This window comes from Homo sapiens, chromosome 13 (genome assembly GCF_000001405.40).
Source record: "Homo sapiens chromosome 13, GRCh38.p14 Primary Assembly".
Lineage (NCBI taxonomy): Eukaryota > Metazoa > Chordata > Mammalia > Primates > Hominidae > Homo > Homo sapiens.
Genome location: NC_000013.11, coordinates 22,155,143 through 22,167,462, shown reverse-complemented (window position 1 = coordinate 22,167,462; position 12,320 = coordinate 22,155,143). Strand labels below are relative to the sequence as shown.

General features: G+C 34.6%; 1 long non-coding RNA gene across 1 annotated transcript in view, besides 1 other annotated feature; it reads right to left on the bottom strand.

The window, feature by feature from the left end:
• Positions 5,347–5,436: an enhancer, noted in NCBI's record as "active region_7447". NCBI's record gives its function as "activates an Ori minimal core promoter by ATAC-STARR-seq in GM12878 lymphoblastoid cells {active_cell/tissue: GM12878}" and the evidence as "EXISTENCE:reporter gene assay evidence [ECO:0000049][PMID:35858748]".
• Positions 11,907–12,320, bottom strand: part of LOC105370108 (uncharacterized) — a 114,586-nt gene continuing 114,172 nt past the window's right edge. Inside the window, exon 4 of the long non-coding RNA XR_001749777.2 lies at positions 11,907–12,196. This is a non-coding gene — a long non-coding RNA (uncharacterized LOC105370108). The remainder of the gene's footprint in view (positions 12,197–12,320) is intronic.

The window sequence follows — 12,320 nt, the reverse complement described above, 5'->3', positions numbered from 1 at the left end:
TCATAGAAATTGTATGCAAAATACTTACAATTTTTATACATTAAAATATACAATATACTTTATCATTAAATTCAAAAGGACCTAAGACACTAATTGTCCTTACTTAACAAAACATCAAACTGGATTCTTGTTCAATAAGCATTCTGCGGTCTCCCTACAAAATACAGAGTTTTATTATCTCTAAAATTTCCCTCTTGTATATGATTTTTAAATTCATTTTCTATTAGAATTTAGAGATAAATTTAGATCAGGAATTGACTCCCTAAACCCTGTTAGTAACCAGAAAATAAAAACAGTAGTTCACCTCATGGAGATTTAAGAGTATTATATAGTAAAACTATATATGTTAACATTTTTTTTTTACTAAAAACTGAAGAAAAAATTATAAATATCACAAATGAATGCATTTTGTTATTTTCAGAGTGTAAGTAGCAAAAAGTGCATGTATTTTAATACAGACCCTTATAATTTCATTTGTGTGATATTACCGCCTTCTGTCAAGAAACTTGCTGACTTGAAGATGTGTGCAGGAGAGAACAGTATTTCTTTGGAATGGAAAAGCCCCATGATAAGTCATCACCTACACTTTCCCAAGTTTTCATGATGCCTTGTTTGAGCTGTTCTAAGAGACGTTTTATATCATATTGTTCATATTGTAAATTTTTCTTAAACATTCTAGATATGAAATTGTTTTAACTTTGTTCTCTTTTATTGACATTAGTTAATGCTCTTAAATAATGGAGTTTCCATCTATAATTTAATTAACTAACTAAAACACACCCTCCACATTCTCACAATAGTCTTCAAAATCACCTTATTTCTCTACTGTCCCCAGGAGGTTCTGGAGTGCAAAGGAGTAGTTTATCCACCTTGGATGATCTAAAATTCTGATACATTTTCTAGATTCCCACTTGTTAGTCTATAGGCCATAGCAGCAAAATTGGAAAATTAGTGAATGTACCATTTCTACCAGAGCTAAGAGTCTAAACATTGTTTTGGGTTCTTCTTAATAAATAGAAGAACAAACATAATATAGGAGAAGTTACATCACAAAAGATAGTGGAATTGGAAGCTCCAGGAATCTGTCCTTACACACACACACACACACACACACACACACACACACACACACACAGTTCTATTAAGCTGGCTGGCAAGAACTGTAAGGCAACAATTTTGGAGCTCTGTAATCTAGGGGAACACTCTCAACATCCTGGGAGGCGCTTGATGAAGAAACAGACTGGTAAATTTCATTGAATTTTGGTGTTTTGCTTAGCCACTATCAACCCATCCCCAAACCCTGTGACAGGCAGATATGGAGATGGCACCCATGATGCTGCTGTGGCTAGCTAGAACGAGATTGGGAAATAGAGACTGTGTTCCCTCAAAATAGAAATGATTCAGTTTGATCACTGCTTTTCATCATTGAGAGGTCAGCACAGAGGTTAGATATTATATCAACCCCCACTCGCTGGAGTCACTACTCCCACCACATAAATCATTAGAAGTTTTCAAAGACAGGTACCTTTCTTTTCTTATTGGATCCAGGCATTTAAGAAAATACCTGTCAAGTCATTGGCTGACTGTAGAGATAACATAATGGGCACTTTAGAGAACACACATGACAAGAAATACATGCCTTCCATAAAAGAGACAACTGCAGCCTTCATCAAACAACAAAAGCAATTTCTGGAGAAAAGGTAGAATCTTATTTTCAGAATTACCACATTACAATATTCAAAATGTTCACTTTTCAACAAAAATTACAATACATACAAATAAACAGGAAATTATAGATTTATAGGAAAAAAGAGAAATTAAGTAAGACCAACTGAGATATCTGACTTACTAGACAAAGACTTTAAATTAACGGTCTTATTCAAAAATTGAAAGAAACCATGGATAAAGAACTAAAAGAAATCAAGAAAACAATATATGAAAAAATAGAGAATATCAATAAAGAAACAGAAATTATTTTTAAAAAGAACCAAATAGAAATTCTGGAGCTTAAAGTAAAACAACTGAAATAAAATATTTACTAAAGGAGTTAAATTGCACATTCAAGCAGACAGAAGAATCAGTGAACTTAAAGAGAATGTAATTAAAATTAGTCTGACAAGCAGAAAGAAAAATATGAAGAAAAATTAAGAGCCTAAGGGTCCTATGGCACACTATGAACTATACTAACACACATATTATAAAAGTCATAAAGAGAAAAGAGAGAAAAGAGCAGAAACATTTGTAAAGAAATAATGGCCCAAAACTTTCTAAGTTTGATGACAGATGTGAAGCTACACACAAAATACTCAACTTTAAGCAGAGTAAACTCAGAGATCCACAGGGACATATTATAATCAAGCTGTAGAAAGTCCTAGTTAACAGAAAAATTTGAAAACAGTAAAAGAGAAGCAATTTGTCACACACAAAGGATCCTCAATAAGGTTAATAACTGATTTTTCATCAGAAACTATGGAGGCCAAAAGGCAGTGAGATATATTTAAAGTACTGAATTTTTAAAAGCTGTTAAGCCAAGATTTCCATGGCTTCAAAAATGAAGGCTAAATTAAGACCTTCCCCAATAGACAAAAGCTAAAGGGATCTGTCACTAGTAAACCTGCACTACAATAAATGCTAAAGGGAGTTTTTTAAACTGAAACTAAAGGACACTAGATGGTAACTCAAAGCCCTATGAAGAAATAAAGATCACTCATAAAGTTAACTACATATGTAAATATAAAACTCAACATTATTGTACTTTTGGTTTATAAACACTCTTTTTGTTTTCTATATGATTTAAAAGACAATTACATAAAACAGTAATTATAAATCTATGTTAATGGGCATACAACATATAAAGATGTAATAGGTAACAACAGCAAGATAAAGAAAGATGGAGTTGCATAAGAGTAGAGTTAAAGTATATTATTGAAGCTAAGTTGATATCACTTCAAACTAGTTATACATTTAATATACCCCTGGCGACCACTAAAAAAAAACTTTAAAATATACAGAAAATAAAATAAAAAAGGAATCAAAATGGTATATTAGACAAAAGTCAATCAAACACAAAGAAAGCCTGTACTGGAGGAATTCAAGAACAATAACAACAAAAAGATATAAGACATATAGAAAACATATAGCACAATGGCAGAAGTAAATTCCTCATTATCAGTAATCCGTTTAAATGGTTAATAATCAGTAAATGGTTAAACTCACCAATTCAAAGACAGAAAATGGAAGAATGGATAACATAAACATGATCTGACAATGTTCTGCTTACAAGAGACTTATTTTAGAACCAAAGACAAAAATAAGTTGAAAGTGAAAAGATAAAAAAATTCCATGCAAATAGTAACCAACAAAGAACTGGGTGGCTATGCTAATATCAGAAAAAATAAATTTTAAGTCAAAAATTGTGACAGGAGACAGATGGACATTTTATATTGATAAAACGGTTAGTGCATTATGAAGTTATAACAATTATAAACACAGATGTAACAAACAGAGACCTAAGATACATGAAGCAAATATTGACAGAATTGAAGGGAGAAATAAGCACTTCTACAATAATAGTTGGAGACTTACCAAATCACTTTCCATAATAATAGAATGTCTAGGCAGAAGATTAATAAAGAAACAAAAGACTTGGACAATACTACCAACCAATTAGACTAAACGTATATACAGAATGCTTCACCAAACAGAAGAATATACACTTTCTCAATTTCACATGAAACATTTCATAGATAGAACATATGTAAGGCCATAAAACAGCTCTCAGTAAATTTTAAAAGATTGAAATCATGCAAAATATCTTTTTCGACCACAATAGAGTGAAGCTAGAAATCAGTAACAGAAGAAAAACTGAAAATTTTGCAAATACATAAAAATTAAACAACACCCATTTAAACAGCCCAATAAAGGAAATCAATAGGGAAATTAGAAAATACTTTGAGACAAAAGAAAACAAAAACTCAATATACCAAAACTTATAAGAAACAATGAAAGCAGTACTCAGAGGGAAATTTATAGCTGTAAACGTCTACATTAGAAAAGAAGAAAGATCTCAAATCAACAACCTTACTTTAAACTTTAAGGAACTACATAAAGAAGAGCAAACTAAACCCAAAGCCGGTAGGAAAAAGGAAATAATAAGGATTAGGGCAGAGATAAGAAAAGCAGAGGATATAAAAACAGTAAAATTAACAAAACCGTAAGTTTGTTCTTTGAAAGGATAGAATATAATGGATAAATCATTAGTTAGACTGTGAGAAAAAACAGATAAAACACAAGTAACTAAAATCAAAAATGAAAGTAAGGACATTACTGTCAACCTTACAGAAACTATAGAGATTAGATGCCCTAACAATTATGCAATCTAGATGACATGGACAGATTCCTAGAACACACAAACTGAAAATGCTGACTCAAGAAGAAGTAGAAAATCTCAAAGGACCTACAAGAGGATAAATCCATAATCAAAACCTCTCAACAAGACAATTCCAGGACAAGATGCCTTTACTGGTGAATTCTACTAAACATGTAAAGAAGAATTAACACCAATTATACTCAAATATTTTTCCAAAAATTAGAAGAGGAGGGAACACTTCCTAACACATCTATAAAGCCAGGATTATTCTAGTACCAAAGTCAGACAAAGATACTACAAGCAAACTACAGACAAACATCTCTTAGGAATGCAGACATACACACACATACACATACACACATACACACACATACCACAGCTCAACAAAATACTAGCAAATTAATATTAACAGCACTTTTTTTTGAGACAGGGTCTAATTCTGTTGCCCAGGTTAAATAGCAGCGGTGCAATGACAGTTCACTGCTGCCTTGAACTTGAACTCCTGGGCTCAAGCAGTCCTCCTGCCTCAGCATCTGAGTGGCTGGGATTACAGGTGCATGCCACCATGCCTGGCTACTTAAAAAAAATTTTTTAGAGACAGGATCTCACTATATTTTCCAAGCTGGTCTCAAACTCCTAGCCTCTAGAGATCCTCCTGCCTCGGCTTCACAAAATGCTGTGATTATAGGTGTGAGCCACCATGCCTAGCCTTAACAGCATATTAACAGGATTACACACCAAGATCAAATGGTATTTATCACAGGACAGCAAGGGCAGTTCAACATAAGAAAATTAATGTAATTTACCTCATTAATAGAATTCAATACATGCAGAAAATCCACTAACAGCATTCAACATCCTTTCATACCAAAAACACTCTGAAAACTGGGACTAGCAGAGAACTTTTGCAACAAAATAAAGGTCTTTTATGAGAAAACCACAACTAACATCATACTCAATTATGAAAGCCTAAAATTTTGCCCTCAAAATCAGAACAAGAAAAGGATTGCTGCTTTCACTTCTGCTATGCATAATTATACTGCAGGTTCTAAACCAGAGCAAAGGTGCTGAATATCCTTGGTCACTAAAGAAATGCAAATCGAAACCACAATGAGAGATACCTTTTCACGCCGACTAGGATATCTTAAACCAAGAAAATGAAAAATAAGTTTGGCAAGGATATGGAGAAACAGGAACTCTCACACATTGCTACTGGGAATATAAAATTGTGCAACTACTGTGGAAAAAAGTTTGATGATTCCTCAAACAATTACAGATAGAATCAACATACGATCTATGATCCGGCAATTCTACTCCTAGGTATTCAAGAGAAAGTGAAAATGTATGTCCATACAAAAAATTATACACAAAATACTTACAGTAGTATTATTCATAATATTTGAAAGTTTAAAACAACTCAAATGTTCGTCACTGGATGAATGGATAAAGAAATTGTGGCATGTACATGTCATGGAATATTATTCAACCATAAAAAGAAACAAAGTACTGTTATACTTGGATGAATCTAAGAAAAATGATGTTAAGTTAAAGAAGTCAGGCACAAAAGGTCACATATTCTATTATTTGCATTATATGATGTATTAGTTAGGGTTCTTCATAGAAACAAAACCAAGAACCAACAGGAGACAGAGTGTGTGTGTGTGTGTGTGTGTGTGTGTGTGTGTGTGTGTGTGTGTACAAACAAAAAGAACAGGTAATATCTACAATAGAGGTTTCTTCTTCCTAAAATGACATTGCCCTTCCTCAAAAACGCCGGGAAAAAGCTGTATCTCTCATCCTCAAAACACATGAGCAGAAAGCACAAGTTAGAGAGGGCTCTGGGGAACAGAGAAGTCAGCAACAACTATTTAATTGATCTCGTCAATTAAATCTAGTCCACAGTGCGACATACCAACTTCCTACCCATGTAGAAAAATAATGTAACGCCCAAGAGGTGTGTGTGTATGTGTGTTTAAACTAAAGATATTGTATTCACTGTAATGTCAAAGTAAAAATCAGAGAAAATAAGTTTGTTAGTCCAGGCTCTTGCCAATGCAAGATTATTCCCTAAGCTGGGACTGCAAGTGTTTTGTCTAGGACAGTTTCGAATGACTCAGATGAGAAGGGCTCCACGTCATTCTGTGGAAAATGAGGCTACAGCCCAGAAAACTATGGAAACATATCCCATGTCCTTACTTTCAAATTTCACTTTGCTTGGGTTGGATTTCTCTGAGGTATGCTATTTAAAAAGACCCCTAAACACACACACACACACACACACACACACACACACACACACACACACACACGGACCTCTCTCTCTCTCCTCTCTCTTTTCTCCATCTCTCTCTCTGCCCCCATCTCTAATCATCACTCTTAACGTGGTTCTACCTGCTCCTAAGACGGCTAAGATTTACTTGTACATAAAATGCTAAAAAAGAGCATAAAATGCTAATAAATTAATAGACTAATGAATGAAATGAAACGAAATCAGCCTTCACTTTATTCCCTTGAATAGGCACAATAGCGTAGTAGAATGAAACTGCTGGTCTAGGAGTCTTCAATGCCCATTCACTGGACATGCTATCTCATCAAGTCATTGTCCTTGAATCTTAGATCCTTCACGTATACAATAAGGAAATTTATACCCTCTATGCTTTTAAAGTATTTTGGAAAATCAAATGAAATGAGAGACACTAAAATGCTATGTGGGTGAACTACTACTGTTTACATCTCTGTTTCTTTTCATTTTTTGCATTGTTTTTCAAGTTTATTTCTGTATTTTTGGTCACAAGATAAAATTGAACGTATTTATCATGTACAATATAGTGTTTTCACATTGGTGTTTGTTTTGTTTCCTTTTAAAGGGCAACTTTATGAAGTGTCACAAAAGAGATATAAAGTACAAAAGTATAAAGTAAAAAGTATAAAGGCCTGGAACAAAACTGAATCACAACTTTTAAGCTCCTTTCTTAAATTCCATCTTACAGTTACAAAAAGTCATTCTTATTTTTCATATGAACCTCTTCAAAGGTCAAGTTTTATTTTAGATGAAGAAGTATCACATATAGAATAAAGATTATAAATATTAACAGCAACCACTGCTGCTTTAATCTGTGACATAATGCATATGTTCATCCAGTTCCAAGTTAATGTTGTTATTACTACTGTTCAAAATTAGAGAAATTCCATATTGCTAAATATTTTGCAGGTTTCTGCTTTATATAGCTATCTTGACGGATATCAGTCTTCTCTCCCAAATGTGTAATATTTTCAAATATAAACAGACACTAAAAGAAACTAAATGTGGATTGTGGGTAACATTAATAATCTTGCATTACAGATTTCCAAGGCTACATTCAAGAGACTTAAGTGTGTAGCGCACCAATAACTATTATACTGAGTGTCACTATTATAAACACATTGATTGACTCCTCCATTTTTCAAATTTAAACATACTTTAAAGTTTAGCATTAGTCAATTAATCATCCCAAGATATTAAAAGCTAGAAAAGGCTTTGAGAGATATGTTCATCAGTAGCAAAATTCCTGACCCCCTTATTTTAAATAATCTCCCTTTGTCAGTGTCTACTGACACTGTCAGGTCAGGAGGTATACTCCATTTTCCTTCACTCTTAATAATTTCTTTTTAAAAACCGACTATAATAAATAGTATCTCAAAGTGTGTAAGTGTGTCCATTTTTGCTTTTTATTTCTCCTTTTTCATGAACCAGGAACATTTAAAGTTTTATTTTTCTGATCTATTAAAAAACTAAATGTTGGATTAAAGTATCCTTTCTGAAATTTTTACTTGTTGCATTTTTTTATTTCATTAAGATTGGCTGTGGCCTTTATTAATTCTCTCTTCCCAGTTTCTTCAGTTTTTGTTTTTCCGTTTCTAATTCCTTATGATAGATTTCTGTCTTCATTTTTCCTTAGTTCCTTTATTTTTAGTATTTATTCTTTAGTGACAAAGTAATTTAAAATAAAAAATGTCCCTCTGAGTTCAGCTCTACCCCATCACACTTAGTGTGAAGTTTTCTCCTTATTGCTTTCTAGATAGGTTGTGATTTCCCTCTTAATTTTGTCTTTGATCCAAAAATTTTATCCAAGTGTGTTTCTTAGTATTCAAGTAGGAAAATGATTTTTGTGACCACTCAGTAGTCTTTGTGGCCTAAAAAATCTCTATTTATTTTTTCTTCGTAGGTAATTTAATGAGCACTTTTTTTGTGTGAAAGTCATACCAAGTATGTATGGCCTCCTTTGAAAAACGCAAGCTTACGTTTATGGTTATTGTTTGTTGATTGTGTATTCATTACTGCAAGACTAATTTATTTTGCCTGCTAGATCTGTCCATTTTCCAAAACAGTATATTAAAGTTTCCTGCTACAAACATGTTCCTATTACATACTGCATTTTGCATAGTTATTGCCTTGTATATTTTTCTGATATATTTTTATGCGTAGAAATTTAGGAATGTTATAATTTCTTTTTATCATCACATAATACCCCTGCTTAACCTTAAATGCAAGAGTATTTTAATATATTATCATATTAATGATATTGTGATATTAGTATATTGCCTTTCCCACTTTCTACTTTTTAGGGTTTTTAAATAAGTGTTTTGTTAGTTTTATTTTGTTTAATATTGCCTTGTGTTTAATTATCTTCACAACCTTATGTTCTAGCTTTCTGTATTTATTTGTTTTAAGTGTTATCATATAGCATATAACTGGGTTTTGTGTTATAATGCAAAAATAACAATCATCTTTAATGAAAGCATTCAGCCCACTTGCATATACCATAATGGCTAAGATGCCTTGATTATATATTTTTTATCTTACCTTATGATTGCTAAATATTTCAAATTGCTTCTTAGTTTTGTTACTTTGATCCATTCTCTAATAATTCTATTTTTTCCTCTTATTAATTTACAAATTCTACCATACTTTTCCATTTCATTAATAGTTACCTCTCATAATTAGATATACATTTCCTACTATCTTTTAAAAGCAACTGACCAAGTATTTCCCCACCTAGATGTATTGTTTCACTATTAAAGATGGGTTTTCCCCACCAAAATGATTTTTTCCTCATTATATCCATCTCTTTATAATTATGTTCTGTTTGAAATATTTTGTCCACTTGAACTTCTAGTTCTCAAACTTTAGTCTCAACTATAACTATCTCATCTTTAATTCATCAGTCAATTATTTGTTTGGAAAATCATGTGACATAGCTTGGCAGTTTTGTCCCTTGTGAATCTCATGTTAAAATTTGAACCCCACTGTTGGAAGTGGGCCTGGTGGGCGGTATTAGGGTCATAGGATCAGATCCCACATGAATGGCTTGGTGCTGTCCTTTCAGTAATGAATGAGTTCTCACTCTACTAGCTCACAGGAGAGCTGGTTGTTTCAAGGGGCCTAGCACCTTCTCCCCTCCCTCTTGCTCCTGGCTCTTTCCATGTGACATGCCTGCTGCCCTTCTGCTTTCCACCATGATTAGAAGCTTCCTGAGGCCTCCCAGAAGCAGATACTGGTGGCATGCTTCCTGTACAGCCTACAGAACCATGAACCAAATAAATCTCTTTTCTGTATAAATGACCCAGTCTCATGTATTTCTTTATAGCAACGTAAAATGTACTAATACATCATATTTTCAACTTTAGAAAGTTAAGTACTTTTTAAAATGTAGTATTTTGTTTCTGCCTTTTGTTCTTTCTGTTTAGGTTTATGTTGTGTTTCTTCTGACCACTCTTCCTTCTCTGGATATTAAAAGGGACTTGTATTTGGACAGGAATGTGGTTCTATAGAGTCCAGGGGATAGCACAGCACCCTTGCATGTGATGGAAGGGAAAGTGGTGTCTCCCCTTTTAGAATTGTGTGTGGAAGCAGAAAGCCTGCCAGTCCCTGTTGAGGTCCTTGTCAGCCTCAGGATGGTGAAAGACCACTACCTGTTTAGCTCTTTGTTGGTCTCTTGGAGGCCAAGGGGACGTGCCACAAGCTCATGGAGCTGGGGTTGGCACAAAGATCCTCCTATTTCTATGAGCCTAACTCTGCTCAGGTTCTGCTGTTTTCTGGCCTCACCCCAGGCTCCCTGTTGCTCTTTTCCATACATTTGACCACCCCACTGGGAAAAACCCTGCAATCATTCTCTACCAAGATTCCCAGGAATTAAGACTTTACCTGTGCCCTGATCCCCATAAGGGCCTGCAACCACCAGGAGAGGCACCTACATGATGTCTGGGTATAGAGTGGAAGGATCTGCATGCAAGGCCGCCATCAGTTTCTTGCTCTACCCATGAGTGTATCCTGAGCCAGACTTTTGAATATTCATTTAAAAACCCTCGTGCCTTCAAACTGGCTTTGCAGATTCTAATCTCCTTCCTGTAATCCAGCAGTCCCCAAACCTGGCTGCACACTGGATTTCTCTGGAGATTTCCTGAACATCCTGATTCCTGAGGCCCAACCTCAACTACTAAATCAGAACATCCGGGAGCCATGTAGTACTGCGTCATTTATCACACTATATGTACTAGTTGTCATTAAAATGTAAAGTTCCTTGAGGCCTACAACAATGTAGTATAACATTTTAGGGAGTCTCCTTAACACCTTAGCAAGCCTAGAACAATGCCAAGAACAAAATATAAATTTTGGTAGGTAATAGGGATTGAAATAGGAGTAAATCCTTAAGAAAATTCTGGGTAATGTGAAGGATTGTTACATAGGACAGAAAGCAAATCCATAGAAGCAAGCTAAAGATGGATGATGACCTAGGGGAAGAGGTGGCTCTACCTGGTACAGGTGTGTCAGGGATGGCTTCCAGAGAAGGTGATAGGCCAGGGCCAGGAGGTGACAGGCCAGGACCAGGAGAAGGAAGGGAGCATGCAGCATTTTCTAGATAGACAGGATTTCAGTTTCTGCATCTGCAAAAAGTGTTACTATGAGTATTTTGATGTTAAAGGGGGGCTTTTTGTGCACAGAGACCATAAACCGAAGTCACCAGATGTTTTTAACTAATTCAAATTATTAAATTGCATATGCAAAAACCCAATTTTCCATAAATTTGAAGTTCTAATTATAAATGTTATATGCTAATTACAACCATGACTTTAAAACATCGTGAAATTCTTCTACACATTTCTATATCTGAAGTCTAAAATCAATTGCTGAATCATCTTTTTAAAATTTTAAACATAAGATAATTGATTGAATTATCTTACATAAATATTACATATACTTTTTTTTTTTTTTTTTTTTTTTTTTTTTCTGAGACGGAGTCTCACTCTGTCTCCCAGTCTGGAGCACAGTCTCAGCTCACTGCAACCTCCACCTTCCAGGTTCAAGCGATTCTTCTGCTTCAGCCTCCGAAGTAGCTGGGATTACAGGCACTTGCCACAATGCCTGGCTAATTTTTGTGTTTTTAATAGAGATGGGGTTTCACCATGTTGGCTAGGCTGGTCATGAACTCCTGACCTCAGGTGATCCGCTCAACTCAGCCTCCCAAAGTGCTGGGATTACAGGTGTGAGCCACCGTGCCCGGCCAATATTACATATACTTTAAGTACCAAAAGTATGCAGATTATCTCAATGATAAAAAATTGTCCCTATGCTTAAAAGTGTGAATTTCCATAGGTTGATTTATTTACTTTTTTCTTTTTAATTAAAACCTCCAAGAATAGGACATCTACTCACCTTTCAGGGGAAGAGATTTACCTTTGCAAGCAACATGGGTACCTTCTACAGGTGAGTTCCAAAACTCGGGACCAGAAGCCAGAGAGCCACCCAAAATGATTTTACCAGGACCCCAGATGCACAGACCGAGCTTCCTTCACAAGAAGAAAAGTAGATTATTCCTATATACTTATAAACAAATCATTTGATTTTAGTTTCTAGCCCCTTCTTGGTTACAGGGAATTTCCTTCAACCAATCTTTCACTGCTGGAAGAAAGT